The sequence below is a fragment of the Homo sapiens genome, chromosome 19 (genome assembly GCF_000001405.40).
Source record: "Homo sapiens chromosome 19, GRCh38.p14 Primary Assembly".
NCBI lineage: Eukaryota > Metazoa > Chordata > Mammalia > Primates > Hominidae > Homo > Homo sapiens.
In genome coordinates, this window is record NC_000019.10 from 53159613 (window position 1) to 53175580 (window position 15968).

The 15968-nt window shown below is 40.1% G+C and overlaps 1 protein-coding gene across 11 annotated transcripts in view; it reads right to left on the reverse strand.

Moving 5' to 3' along the window:
- Nucleotides 1–2811: 2811 nt before the first annotated feature.
- The window catches only part of ZNF665 (zinc finger protein 665), a 30935-nt gene continuing 17778 nt past the window's right edge, over nucleotides 2812–15968 (reverse strand). For 7 of the 11 annotated variants that reach the window (NM_001353459.2, NM_024733.5, NM_001353458.2 and 4 more), the window contains 2 exons: nucleotides 15833–15959; nucleotides 2812–6735 (listed from right to left, as the gene is read on the reverse strand). In NM_001353459.2, coding sequence (NP_001340388.1) covers nucleotides 4841–6735; nucleotides 15833–15959 — 2022 coding nt within the window. In that variant the 3' untranslated portion in view covers nucleotides 2812–4840. The remainder of the gene's footprint in view (nucleotides 6736–15832; nucleotides 15960–15968) is intronic. The other 4 variants (XM_047439451.1, XM_047439450.1, XM_047439448.1 and 1 more) reach the window with 1 other exon arrangement.

The following is a 15968-nucleotide window of genomic DNA, read 5'->3' on the forward strand; positions in this document are numbered from 1 at the left end:
AGTAGCCCAACAGAACCTCCTTTACATTTCAAATCCCCATTCTCCCCAGTGGAAGAGTCAAGCCTGTGCTCAATTCATGGGAAGGTTAAGGCCGATAAGTTAGATCACCAAGGGCTGCTTTATTGTTCTTTAAAACATATATTTTTGTAAAGATGGGAGTCTCGGCCCAGGCTGGTCTCCAACTCTTGACCTCAAGCAATCCTCCTGCCTGGGCCTCCAAAATTGCTGGGATTACAGGAGTGAACTACTGTGCCCAGTCAACTACTGATTTAAACCATGTGAATTTTTAAAAAATAGAGATAAACTGCATTATTTTTGCTTATATTCGTTATTCCGTTCCACACTTGAAATGACTTAACCACAAACAACTTTGACATAATCTTTCTTTGCATCAAAATATGCTTAAATCAATAATTTCTAAATATCATGTAATTTCAAATTCACTTTATGGGCATTCTGAAGGGAACTTGACACAGTACTTTTTATTTTAAAATTGTAATCTATATTGGGTCTATTTTTTTGTTTTCTGTTTCTTAATGTTCTATCAGATGTGGATAACAGAGTGTGGAAAATAGTCACCACATGACAATTGGATTTATTTTCGCCTAAAGAATAGTTTTCCAGTATTTCTAACGTACCATCCCAGTACATTGACTGAACTAAAGACTCACAGGGATACCCTTTTTTCATGTTTATAGAGAACCTAGTTTATACCTGCTATTGTCTTATGTACATTTTCATGTCACACAATTTTATCTCCAAACAACACCCTTATTTATATACACCGTATAGTTTTCACTTTAACAAAATATTAAACGTTTCATCTGGGTTACAATATATGAAAGAAAAAAATAAAAGGGAAAATCATATTAAAAAATAAAAAGTAATTTTACTACAATTGAACATAAACCATGAAATATATTGCTCAATACCATAAACTGAAAATAACATTTCCATAGCCTTTGGAGAAATGCCCTTCCAGTAAAACTGCTTAATCATATTTATTATGTAAGAAACTTTTCCACAGATTTTCACTGAGTTAGTATAAAAACATCTTAGGCATTATAACTAAACAGGATTTCAAAAACATTTTCAACAGTTGTGTTATTTTTAATGAGTCCTATGGGTACAGCGGAAGAATAAATGTAGAATATTACTATCAAGAAAACTAGGGCAGGGCGTGGTGGCTCACACCTGTAATCCCAGCACTTTGGGAGGCAGAGGCGGGTGGATCACTTGAGGTCAGGAGTTCGAGACCAGCCTGGCCAACATGGTGAAACTGTCTCTACTAAAAATACAAAAATTAGCCAGGCGTGGTGGCACATGCCTGTAGTCCCAGCTACTTGGGAGGCTGAGGCAGGAGAATCACTTGAACCTGGGAGGTGGAGGTTGCAGTGAGCCGAGATCACGCCACTGCATTCCAGCCCCGGTGACAGAGCAAGCCTCCGTCTCAAAAAACAAAACAAAACAAACAAACAAAAAAGAAAACTGGGGTCTTCCCAAACCAAGAATTCAGAACTTTCCAGAGTAAATAATTCAGTGTACTAGCGTCAGTCTCCATTTTGTGATGTTGTACTACTAACGCTTTTACAGCTCTGCACTTCTGTTCTGCCCATTTGGTCAAACTGGTCATGCTTGAGTGCTTCCTCCTTTGTCACTAGATGGACGTTCAAACCACACAAAGCTTCCTCTAACCCATCCCCACACCTTATCAACCATAACACACCAAGCAAGTTGCTTATCTGGGCTCTCAAGCCATTTTTAGACCAGCTTTGGAAGTCTACCCAGCTTTCCCCAGAAACCCACATTATGTAATAAACAGTCTCATAACACTTCTCAACCAACCTTTAGGTGAAGTTCAATACAGTTCCAGTAGAGAGGTCACAAGTTCAAATGATCAAAATGTTATGAGGGTGAACATACAAACTTTGTCGTTTATCTGCCAGGAAAAAAAAAAATCTGAATGTGTTATGTTCTTTCTTAAAAGAAAATTTATATATATTAATTTTTCCAATTGCCACTGAGCATTCCAAAGGTAAAAAAGAGATGTTGTTGTTTTTATCCATATTCCCCACAGTTTTTTTGTTTCCTAATATGTCATATTTTTACTATACTTGTATTTTCACTTCAGGTACATCAAGATAAATGCCATAGGTGTTATTTGGCATGCAAGAAAGAGACATGCAAAAATATAATAATACTGTGCATATGCATGAAGAGCAATGCAGACTTCAGGGTGTGAGAGTCTGAAATATCCTTTCTGTGGGATTTTCATTATACCACATAAGTATCCCAAGGCAGAGTGTGGAGAGAATAATTCAAGTACAAAATACAATTAGTTTCTGGGCTGGGCATGGTGGCTCACACCTGTAATCCCAGAGCTTTGGGGGGGCCAAGGCAGGTGGATCACTTGAGGTCAGGAGTTCGAGACCAGCCTGGCCAACATAGTGAAACCCTGTCTCTACTAAAAATACAAAAACTAGCCGGGTGTGGTAACGGGCACCTATAATCCCAGCTACTTGGGAGGCTGAGGCAGGAGAATTGCTTGAACCCGGGAGACAGAGGTTGCAGTGAGCCGAGATCACGCCACTGCACTCCAGCCTGGGTGACAGAATGAAACTCCATCTCAAACAAACAAACAAAAAAACCAAAATACACTTAGTTTCTGAAAATTATATGTTGTTTGATCCAACAATGGAAATCATTGTTCTAGATCCTTCGATAGCTTAATGGTGCAGTGTTGTTATCTGTTATGAAGTATGCTACTGAGGTAGGATAAAACTATGTTGGCAAGAAATGATTCATTCATACTTATAAAATACATCAAATTTTATTAGTTAAAACATTAAATCTATGATGCATTCTTAAATAGTAGCAAAATGTGATTCCAGCAGTTAATGTAAATCCTAGTAACAAACATGGGATTCTGGTTACTTTGATTAAACTTCTTATGCTCGGCCGGCCGGGCACGGTGGCTCCAGCCCGTAATCCCAGCACTTTGGCAGGCCAAGGTGGGCGGATTATGAGGTCAGGAGTTCGAGACCAGCCTGGCAAACATAGTGAAACTCCATCTCTACTAAAAATACAAACATTAGCCAGGCGTGGTGGTGCATGTCTGTAATCCCAGCTACTTGGGAGGCTGAGGCAGGAGAATCGCTAAAACCCAGGAGGCGGAGGTTGCGGTGAGCTGAGATTGCATCACTGCACTCCAGCCTGGGCAACAGAACAAGACTCCATCTCAAAAAAAAAAAAAAAAATCAATCTTTGCTATGCAACAGCTATTGGCATTTGATGGAGAAGGTAGCCTCCACTTTTCTGCATTATTTGTACCACACATCAGTCCCTAATAAGCTATTACTCTCCTCTAATAAAAATCCGAGTGTCTTCCTGGCTCTATTTCATGGTCTACTGGTAGAGAATTTCTTTCTTTCTTTTTTTGAGTCAGAGTTTCGCTCTTATTGCCCAGACTGGAGTGCAGTGGCATGATCTCGGCTCACCACAACCTCTGCCTCCCGGGTTCAAGCGAGTCTCCTGCCTCAGCCTCCTGAGTAGCTGGGATTACAGGCATGCGCCACCATGCCTGGCTAATTTTGTATTTTTAGTAGAGATGGGGTTTCTCCATGTTGGTCAGGCTGGTCTCGAACTCCCGACCTCAGGTGATCCACCCACCTTGGCCTCCCAAAGTGCTGGCATTACAGGCGTGAGCCACTGTGCCCGGCCAGTAGAGAATTTCTTCCCATACCCACAGTGCTCTTCTGTCAGAAGAAGGGCACCTGCAGTGCAATAAGGATGATGAGTGACATCATAGTTCATCATCCTCTGCCCTTTCCAAGTGCTCTCTAATTCAGACTATATTTAATTTTAAAAGGCAGAGTCTTTTTTCTTCAGGAGCTTGGAGAGAAATAATCCTCACCTAATGAAGTGAGTGAGCCCTTCCATCCTTTGATTCTTTCCCGAACAACACCATGTTAGGCGTATAATCATGTATAAAATCAGCACATTGCAAAGTTCTGGTTGGAAGTTATAAATAGTAGCCTTTTCAATAAATCTTAAATACTTCAACAAAACATTTTATAAGCTGAAAGTAATTGGCCATTTCCAAACATCCTACAACCTTTGATATGTATCATGTAATGAGTTTTAACACATTTGGACTTCTGATTATGCTGAAGTATATAATATCAGAGGGTTATGAGGAAACTAGAGACTGAGTTCTACTCTTCCTATGAATCCTCACCTACAGTTGTGGTCCAGGAGTAATAGTCTCAGCATGCATGTTACGTTTGTGTGACTTCATCAAAGATGTATCTTTTGATGCGTATTGAGCTCTGAGACCTGGATAAAGCTTCTGTCATACATAGTATATTCACAGGATTTGAACTCTGATGTCTGTTAATGCTTAAACTCATCAGGAGTTTGCCACAGTCACTGTATTTGTAAGAATTGTCTCAAGAATGAATTCTCTGATGTTGTGAAAGAATTTGTGGCTGAAAAACTGGCCGCACTCCTTTGTAAGGTTACTTTTTTTTTTTTTTTTTTTTTGGAGATGGAGTTTCACTCCTGTTGCCCAGGCTGGAGTGCAATGGCATGATCTCGCTCACTGCAACCTCCGCCTCCCAGGTTCAAGTGATTCTCCTGCCTCAGCCTCCCGAGTAGCTGGGATTACAGGCGTGCACCACCACACCCAGCTAATTTTTGTATTTTTAGTAGAGACAGCGTTTCACCGTGTTGGCCAGCCTGGTCTCGAACTCGAGACCTCAGGTGATCCCCCCGCCTCGGCCTCCCAAAGTGCTGGGATTACAGGCGTGAGCCACCACGCCCGGCGTCCTTTGTAAGGTTTCTATCCACTATGAATTCTTCGATGTTTTGCAAGGTTTGAATTTTGAGTAAAGACCTTGCCACATTGGTTACATTTGTAAGGTTTGTCTCCAGTATGGACTGCCATATGGGTAGTTAGGGTTGAACGAACACTGAAGGCTTTCCCACACTCATTACACCTATAAGGTTTTTCTCCAGTGTGAATTCTTCTATGATTTGCAAGATGTGAATTTTGAGTGAAGACCTTGCCACATTCATTACATTTGTAAGGTTTTTCTCCAGTATGGATGACCTGATGGGTAGCTAGGTTTGAATGTACACTAAATGCTTTGCCGCACTCATTACACTTATAAGGTTTCTCACCAGTGTGAATTCTCTGATGAATTGCAAGGTACGAATTGTGTCTGAAGACCTTGCCGCAATCATTACATTTGTATGGTTTTTGTCCAGTATGTATTGTCTGATGTATAGTTAGGCTTGAATGAACACTAAAGGCTTTGCCACACTCATTACACTTGTAAGGTTTTTCTCCAGTATGAACTCTCCAATGCCTTGCAAGTTGTGATGTTTGACTGAAGGCTTTACCACATTCATCACACTTGTAAGGTTTCTCTCCAGAATGAATTCCCCGATGACTTGCAAGGTGTGAATTTTGTGTGAAGACCTTACCGCAGTCATTACATTTGTAAGGCTTTTCTCCAGTATGAATTGCCTGATGGGTAGTTAGGCTTGATCGCACACTAAAGGCTTTGCCACACTCATCACACCTGTAAGGTTTCTCTCCAGTATGAATTCTTCGATGATTTGCTAAGTGTGAATACTGAGTGAAAACCTTGACGCATTCATTACATTTGAAAGGCTTTTCTCCGGTATGGATGATCTGATGCTTAGTTAAGTTTGAATGCATACTGAAGGCTTTCCCACACTCATTACACTTGTAAGGTTTCTCACCAGTATGAATTCGCCGATGCTTTGCAAGGTATGAATTGTGCCTGAAGACCTTGCCACATTCATTACATTTGTAAGGTTTTTCTCCAGTGTGGATTGTCTGATGGGTAGTCAGGCTTGAGCGAACACTAAAGGCTTTGCCACACTCATTACACTTGTAAGGCTTCTCCCCAGTATGAATTCTTCGATGACTTGCAAGGTGTGAATTTTGAGTGAAGCACTTGCCACATTCCTTACATTTGTAAGGTTTTTCTCCAGTATGGATGACCTGATGTGTAGTTAGTTTTGAATGTGCTCTAAAGGCTTTGCCACACTCATTACACTTGTAAGGTTTCTCTCCAGTATGAATTCTCTGATGACCTGCAAGGTTTGAAGGTTGACTGAAGACCTTTCCACATTCATTACATTTGTAAGGTTTTTCTCCAGTATGGATGACCTGATGGATTGTTAGGTTTGAACGAACAGTAAAGGCTTTGCCACACTTATTACACTGGTAAGGCTTCTCTCCAGTATGAATTCTCTTATGACTTGTTAGCCGTGAGTTTTGACTGAAGACCTTGCCACATTCATCACATTTATAATGTTTTCCTCGATTATTAGGAGACTTCTCAACTTGATTGTATTCATAAATTTTCCCTTCATGTTGAAATTGCTGCAGTTCAGGGAGATGTGACTGAAAGCTTACTCCAAGCTGATTTTCAATATGCCTGTTTCCTGCAGCCCTTCTATCACGTTGAGCTCTTCTACCAGGGAGATTTTCTTTTTGCAACATAAGTACTGTTTTATAATTTCCTTCATCATCTTTCCACTGACACTCAAAGTCGTATGTATTTTTCTGAACTTCCTGGAAGGACAAGCCTACAGTGTCACAGCTTTCAAGTCTCTCCAACTTCACCGTGTAGAACGCTTCTCCCATATTGTTCTTCCCCTTTGGTGGCAAATCCGTGTTTACACATTTACAAGAGATATCTGTAAGATATAAACAACCATAGATTTCCAGTTAACTATAGTAGGTAAATAACTATTTCCCATTGAAAAACCTAATGTTACACCAAAAGTAATAGTTATGTTGAACAGACTTACGATTCTTCAGAACCATAATTTTCCAGAACACAAAAGGAACAGGATTCCTTATCAAAGAAAAGGTGGTAACATGTAATTCAAATAGTAGGGGATCCTAGTTTTAAACATTCTGTGAACAAAACACTCATATTGTGCAAACCCATATTAGCCCTGAAAGGAGTATTTTTCAACCATGACCCAAGGCTACCAATTGGCAGTATATTTTATATGGCTGTCACAGAATTCAAGAGAAATAATTCTTAGATTGTGCCTATTTAAAGCATATTTGTTATGCATAAGTAAATGCTGAAGCACAACATGATATACTCTAATGGCAAATAACTCACAGCAAACATATGTAATGAATAATTAAAGAACTAGTAATTTTGAATTGGAAAACAATAATAGCACTGAAAAAACGAGGAGGAATTCAATTTTAAAATGTCAGAAAAAACTATTTTTCTGAATACCTGTTATAAAACTACATACCCCTATATACCCACACAGAGCAAACATTTTGCAACATTAACAAGTGGTATATAACAGTTATATTTCTTTCTTTCTTTCTTTCTTTTTTTTGAGAAGGACTTTTGCTCTTGTTGCCCAGGCTGGAGTGAGTGGTGCAATCTCGGCTCACCGCAACCTCCGCCTCCCAGGTTCAAGCGATTCTCCTGCCTCAGCCTCCTGAGTAGCTGGGATTACAGGCATGCACCACCAGGCCAGACTAATTTTGTATTTTTAGTAGAGACAGGGTTTCTCCATGTTGGTCAGGCTGGTCTCGAACTCCCGACCTCAGGTGATCCCCCCGCCTCAGCCTCCCAAAGTGCTGGTATTACAGGAGTGAGCCACTGCGCCCAGCCCCAACAGTTGTATTTCTTACAAATGGTAAAAAACCATCCTCTATCAATAATAATCGAAATTAAGAAAATATTTTAGCAACTCAGGATATAAGCAGTAGGCAAGAATTAGTAACCGTGTTTACAGGAAGTTATAGTCTGTGGATTGTCAACAATTTCTCTCTCTTTTTTTTTGGAGACAGAGTCTCGCTTTGTCACCCAGGCAGTGGCGCGATCTCGGCTCACTGCAAGCTCCGCCTCCCGGGTTCCCGCCATTCTCCTGCCTCAGCCTCCCGAGTAGCTGGGACTACAGGCGCCCGCCACCGCGCCCGGCTAATTTTTTGTATTTTTAGTAGAGACGGGGTTTCACCGTGTTAGCCAGGATGGTCTCGATTTCCTGACCTCGTGATCCACCCACCTCAGCCTCCTAAAGTGCTGGGATTACAGGCGTAAGCCAGGGTGCTTGGCCAACAATTTCTCTTGAGAAAAGAGGAGTCTGCCGGGCGCCGGTGGCTCCCGCCTGTAATCCCAGCACTTTGGGAGGCCGAGGCGGGTGGATCACGAGGTCAGGAGATCGAGACCATCCTGGCTAACACGATGAAACCCCGTCTCTACTAAAGATACAAAAAATTCGCCATGCGTTGTGGCGGGCGCCTGCAGTCCCAGCTACTCGGGAGGCTGAGGCAGGAGAATGGCGTGAATCCAGGAGGTGGAGCTTGCAGTGAGCCGAGATTGTGCCATTGCACTCCAGCCTGGGCGACACAGCCTGACTCCCTCTCAAAAAAAAAAAAAAAAAAAAAAAAAAAGAAAGAAAGAAAGAAAAGAGGAGTTCTACTTCAGAACCAGCACAGGATATAAGAACTGGAATATAATTTTTTTTTATGAAATAAAACTGTCTTTATTTGCAGATAACATAATCATCCTTGAGAAAATTCAATATACTCTACAAAAATGCTGCTAGAACTAGTGAGTTTAGCAAGGTTGAAGAATACATTATCAATACCCCAAAGAATCAATTTTATTTCTATATACTAGCAATGAATAATCAGAAAGTTTTCTAAAATGCAGTTTGCAATAGCTTTAAAAACATTAAATACTTAGAGAAAAGTCCGACAGCAGATATGAAGAACCTATACACTAAAAACTATAAAATATTGCAGAGAGGAATTAAAGAAGACCTAAATAAATGAAAAGCTAAATATATCTTGTTCAGCATTTAGAAGACTCAATATTGTTAAAACAGCAACACTCCCCATTTAGCCTATTGATTCAACACAATCCCAACCAAAATTCCAGCATGTATTTTTTGAGAAATTAACAGGCTTTCTAAAATTCATAGGAAAATGGAAAGGATCTAGCATAATTAAAACAATTTTGATAAAGAAGAAAGTTGTAACACTATCACTACCTGCTTTCATTATAAAAGTGTAGTCATCAAGACAGTGTGATTATTGTTGATTAGACAAATATCAAATAGATCAATGGAATGAAATAGAGAATACTGAAATAGACTCACGTTATATAGACAACTGATTTTTGACAAAGAATAAATGGCAATTCCATGGAGAAAAGACAGTCTTTTTAAAAAATGGTGCTGAAACAATTAGATCTTCATATGCAAAAAAACCCTTTTGTTTATACCTCATTCCATATAGAAAAATATACTCAAATAGATCAGATGAAAACCTAATGTAAAATCTAAACCATAAAACTTTTAGAAAACCAACATGAGGAAAAATCTGTGGAGCCCTCGGATCAAGCAAAGATTTCCTAGATATGATACCACAATCATGATCCATAAAAGAAAAAAAAGAATTAATTTATAAAGACACACTGTTAAAAGAATGAAGACTCGGACTGAGGGAAAATATTCACAAAGCACAAATCTGATAAAGACTTTGTATCTGGAATATACAAAGAACTCTCAAAGTTCAATATTAAGAAAACAAAAAGCCCAATTTTAAACATTGGAAAATGATTTGAACATACACTGCACAAAAGAAAATATTAATATATATAGATAATAAGCACATTAAAAGATATTCAACATCATAGTCATTAGGAAAATACAAATTAAACTACTAAATGTTGATTAGAAAGGCTGGAATTTAAAACTAGCAATACCAAGTGTTAACAAGGATGTGAAAAAACTAAAATTCTCACACACTGGTAGTGGGAATGTAAAAGGCTACAACCACTTTGGAAAATAGGTTGGATGGCTTTAAAAAAAATTTTTTTAATGGAAATATTTCTTTTTTTATTATTATTACTATACTTTAAGTTTTAGGGTACATGTGCATAATGTGCAGGTTAGTTACATATGTATACATGTGCCATGCTGGTGTGCTGCACCCATTAACTTGTCATTTAGCATTAGGTGTATCTCCTAAAGCCTATCCCTCCCCCTTCCCCCCACCCCACAACAGTCCCCAGAGTGTGATGTTCCCCTTCCTGTGTCCATGTGTTCTTATTGTTCAATTCCCACCTATGAGTGAGAATATGCGGTGTTTGGTTTTTTGTTCTTGCAATAGTTTACTGAGAATGATGATTTCCAATTTCATCCATGTCCCTACAAAGGACATGAACTCATCATTTTTTATGGCTGCATAGTATTCCATGGTGTATATGTGCCACATTTTCTTAATCCAGTCTATCATTGTTGGACATTTGGGTTGGTTCCAAGTCTTTGCTATTGTGAATAGTGCCGCAATAAACATACGTGTGCGTGTGTCTTTATAGCAGCATGATTTATAGTCCTTTGGGTATAAACCCAGTAATGGGATGGCTGGGTCAAATGGTATTTCTAGTTCTAGATCCCTGAGGAATCGCCACACTGACTTCCACAATGGTTGAACTAGTTTACAGTCCCACCAACAGTGTAAAAGTGTTCCTATTTCTCCACATCCTCTCCAGCACCTGTTGTTTCCTGACTTTTTAATGATTGCCATTCTAACTGGTGTGAGGAATGGAATATAACTTTTTTAAAAAAAACTTTTATTGTATAATGGCAAACTACAGGTGTATATATTTATGGGGAAAAAATGATGTCATGATGCATATATAGAATGTGGAATGATGGAATCACGCTTATTACCACATCCATCATGTGAAAAATGTGTCATTTACTCTTGTTTAATTGAACCTTTGTGTTGAAACGACAAACATCTTCCTAATCTCCCCAACCCCACCCTCTTGTAACCAACGTTCTTCTTTCTATGAGTTCAAGAGGTTTGGATTCCACATATAGGTAAGAAGGTGCAGTACTTGTATTTCTGTGCCTAGATTATTTCATTTAGCAAAATATCCTCGGGGTCCATCCATGTTCTGGCAGACAGAACTTCCTTCTTTTAAAGGCTACACAGTGTTCCATCATTTTCTTTATCCATTCATCTGTTAATGAACACGTAGTTTGATTTCATAACTCGACTATTGTGAACAATGCTGCATTAAACATGGAATGCAGATACGTCATAGATATGCTGATTTAAATCCTTTGGATCTATACTTGACCCTTGGACAATGTAGGGGTTAAGAATGCCAACCCTCCACTCAGTTGAAAATCTGTGTATAACTTTTGACTCCCCAAAAACTTAACCACTAATAGCCTACGATTGACTGGAAGCTTTACTAATAAACATATAATGTCGATTAGAATGTATCTTGTATTTTTTATGTTATATGTATTATATACTGTATTCCTTTTTTGTTTGTTTGTTTGTTTGTTTTCGAGACGGAGTCTTGCTCTGTCACCAGGCTGGAGTGCAGTGGCACAATCTCACCTCACTGCAACCTCCACCTCCCGGGTTGAAGCAATTTTCCTGCCTCAGCCTCCCAAGTAGCTGGGATTACAGGTGCCCACCATTAGGCCCAGCTAATTTTTTATATTTTTAGTAGAGACGGGGTTTCACCATGTTGGCCAGGCTGGTCTCGAACTCCTGGCCTCACATGATCTGCCTACCTTGGCCTCCCAAAATGCTGGGATTACAGGCTTGAGCCACCGCATGCGGCAAGAGATCACTTTTTATTATGATATGCAATTTACTGGAGAGATGAACTACTTAAAGATGATTAGCGTTACAGAGTGTATTAAGCAAATACTTGCAACACTTGAGCTCCATGTAATAGCAATAGGAGGTGGCTATGAAATTGTATGGCAGTACACTATGTACTAAAATTAGTTCTATACAATTATGATTATTATATCTTTACATTTGTGTGTGTGTGTGTGTATATATATATATATATATATTTTTTTTTTTTTTTTCTTTTTTTAGACGGAGTCTCACTGTGTCACCCAGGCTGGAGTGCAGTGGCGTGATTTTGGCTCACTGCAACCTCCGCCTCCCAGGTTCAAACAATTCTCTGCCTCAGCCTCCCGAGTAGCTGGGATTACAGGTGCCTGCCACCACGCCCAGCTGATTTTTGTACTGTATGTCACATGCAGTAAGTGTGTGTATAAGTTTTAATTTTTTATGATAGATTTGTGTTTTTATTTTGAAAGAGAGTCTCATTCTGATGCCCAAGCTAGAGGGCAGTGGTGTGATCTCGGCTCACTGCAACTTCTGTTTCCCTGGTTCAAGTGATTCTCCAGCCTCTGCCTCCCACCTAGCTGGGATTACAGGCATGTGCCACCACACCCAGCTACTTTTTGTATGTTTAGTAGAAACAGGGTTTCACCATGTTGGCCAGCTGGTCTCGAACTCCTGACCTCAGGTGATCCACACACCTTGGCCTCCCAAAGTGCTGGGATTACAGGTGTGAGCCACCACACCCGGCCAGATTTGTGTATTTTTTATGGTGGTAAATAATAGAGTAATAATTTATGCATTCATGACATACCTAATTTTTTCTTAATTTTTATAATATTTTTAGGTTATGCAATTTGTCTGCTTTTTCAAATTGTTGGAAATGTCTTTAAAAATTTCCAATATATTTACTGGAATAAAACCCATATATAAGATGACCCATGGAATTCAAACCTGTGCTGTTCAAGGGCCAACTGTATACCCAGAAGTGGGATTGCTGGATAATATAGTACTTTTATTTTTATTTTTTTGAGAAATTTCCACATAATTTTTCATAATGCCTGGACTAATTTACATTCAACCAATAGTGTATGAGAACCCCCAGTCTCCATATCTTTGCTAACACATATCTTTTGTCCTCCTGACAGTAGCCATTCTGACAACTACGTGATATTTTATGCTGCTTTAAATTTTTATCTCTGCAAGTAGTGATGTTGGCTGTTTGTCTGCCTTCCTTCAAGAACTGTATATTGAGGCTCATACCTGTAATCTCAGCACTTTGGGAGGCCAAGGTGGATGGATCATGTGAGACCAGGGGTTTGAGACCAGCCTGGCCAATGTGGTGAAACCCTGTCTCTACCAAAAACGCAAAAATTAGTCAGGCGTGGTGGTGCACGCCTGTAGTCCCAGCTACTTGGGAGGCTGAGGCAGGAGAATCACTTGAACCTGGGAGGCGGAGATTGCAGTGAGCCAAGATCACGCCACTGCACTCCAGCCTGGGTGACAGAGCGAGATTCTGTCTCAAAAAAAAAAAAAAAAAAAAAAGGAAATAAAATGTATATTGAGATCCCTTGGCCATTTTTTAAATTGGTTTGTTTTCATGCTATTGAGTAGTTTCGATTTCTCACACATTTTGGACATTAAATTGGTGTCAAATATACAAATTGCAAATACTTTCTCACAATCCGTAGGTTGTCTCTTCATTATGTTAATTGTTCCCTTTGCAGTGCAGAAGCATTTTCAGTAGATGCTACCCCATTTATCTGTTTGCTTTTGTTGCACAAGCTTCTGGGCTCAAGGCCAAAAAATCATTGATAACGTCATGTAGGTTTTCCCCTATGATTACTTCTAGTAGTTTTACATTATCAGGTCTTACGTTTAAGTATTTAATACATTTTGAATCAATTTTGGTATCTGGTGTGAGATTAACATCCATTTCATTCTCCTGTGTGTGGATATTGCTTTTTTCTAGCAATACTTATTGAAAAAACTGTCCTTGTTTTAATTGTGTGTTCTTGGTACCTCTGTCAAAAGGCAACTGGCCATATATCCATCATTTTTTTTTTCACTCTTTTTTTTTTTTTTTTTTTTTGAGATGGAGTCTCGTTCTGTCGCCAGGCTGGAGTGCAGTGGCACAATCTCAGCTCGCTGCAACCTCTGCCTCCCGGGTTCAAGTGATTCTTCTGCCTCAGCCTCCCAAGTAGCTGGGACTACAGGTGTGCACCACCATGCCTGGCTAATTTTTGTATTTTTAGTAGAGACAGCATTTCACCATATTGGACAGGCTGGTCTCAAACTCCTGAGCTCGTGATCCACCCACCTCAGCCTCCCAAACTGCTGGGATTACAGGGGAAAGCCACCGCATCTAGCATTTTTTACTCTTTTTATTCTGTTCCACTGGTTGATGTGTCTATTTTTAAGGAAGTACTATCCTGTTTTAATTACTATATCTTCATAATACAGTTTGAAGTAAGGTAGTGTGATGCCTCCAGGTTTGTTTTGTTCAATGAATCCCATGCTCAAGTGTGAAAAAAACAGGATACATGCCCGATGTAGGACTGGGATCAAAGAGAGGACATTTCTGTCCACTGTACTTAACAATTTGGCTAACCATCTCAGAAGATCCAACCCACTCCCCTTGTCACCCACACCCACAAACTGTCACAAAGTGGAAGAGAAGAAGTAGCTGAGACCTCAACAGGCAAGGAAAGCTTAAGACAGTTCCGTGAAGTTTCCGGGGCCCCAGGTGCAAAGGAGAAGCAGCCAGTGTTTTCCATCTCTTGGAAGTAGGTCTTCCAAGCTCATGAAATGGGATAAAGTATGGATAGAGGCACTTGCCAAAACTATGGAGTCCTCACATCTGTCTCTGTGGACAGAAAAATAAGGATTTTTGATTGAATCAAGCACAGAAGGAGAGACTAAGGAGGAGAGCAACCCTTTTGAAAGGGACTAAGAGTTCATAGAAAGCCAGTAACAGACGGTTGTAGATCATGACCAAGACTTTGCATGTGTTGCTCTTTGGGCTGTAGCGCCACTGCAGGTTGGAAGGATGAAGTTTTACACATCTAAAGAACAGGGTATTAAGTGGTAGGGAAAAAAATTCTTATCAGTGATCACAGGATATAAACTTTTATTTTCCCAAAAAACTCTCCCATTTGCAGGGTGTTTCTCAAACACTGTCTAATGAGATGCTTTCTCCCTGCCCATCTGAACTCTGACCTGTGATCCCACCTCTGATCCACTCCCAGTTTCTATTGTCTCTTGGTTCTCCACATTCCAGGGCTCCTTCCCTTGTTCCAACAAGGAGATAATACTCAGATCAAAAGGAGAGATTCCTGCTTATGAGAAGAAAGAAGGCCAGGCATGGTGGCTCACGCCTGTAATCCCAGCACTCTGGGAGGCTGAGTTGGGCAGATCACCTGAGGTCAGGAGTTCGGGACTAGCCTGGCCAACATGGTGAAACCTTGTCTCTATTAAAAATACAAAAATTAGCTCGGCATGGTGGCTAAAGCCTGTAATCCCAGCTACTCGGGAGGCTGAGGCAGGAGAATCGCTTGAACTCAGGAGGCGGTAGTTGCGGTTGCAGTGATCCGAGATCGTGCCATTGCACTCCAGCCTGGGTGACAAGGGTGAAACTCCGTCTCAAAAAAAAAAAAAAAAGAAAGAAAAGAAAGAAAGAAAAAAAAAAAGAAATATAATGTGCTGTGGCTTTTCCAGAATCGTACCCTTAGGTTTACATGAGAAGAGAGGAAACTGTAGACGGATTTGGAAAAACATTTCAACAGTTGATCCACGGAATGCCTCCTGAGTGGTTAGGAAACACCACACTACGCAGATATCTAGCTTTCTTCCATGAACCACTCAATCAAAAGCACAGAAGTAGAAAACAGAAAATCAAACATTTTAAAAGTCTGGTACAAGGTATTATGCATACAAAACTCTAAAACTCTCCACAAAGTGGGCAGACCATCTCGAGAAACAGCAAGATTAAAGTCCAGATCCTGCATGATTAGGCTTTTCATTTATGAGTCAACAGGACATCAATCCTCATCAAGCAATGCAGGGGCTCTCAAGAGACTCACAAGGGAAAATGAAAACATACACGAGAACAGACCCTGACTTCTAAAAGAAAGTCATCCTCACCCAGGGAGACCAGGTTCCTATAATTCTCCAACATGACGTCCCTGTACAAAGTCTTCTGAGCAGGGTCCAGGCATGTCCACTCCTCCTGAGAGAATTCTATGGCCACATCCTTGAATGTCAACTGTCCCTAAAATGA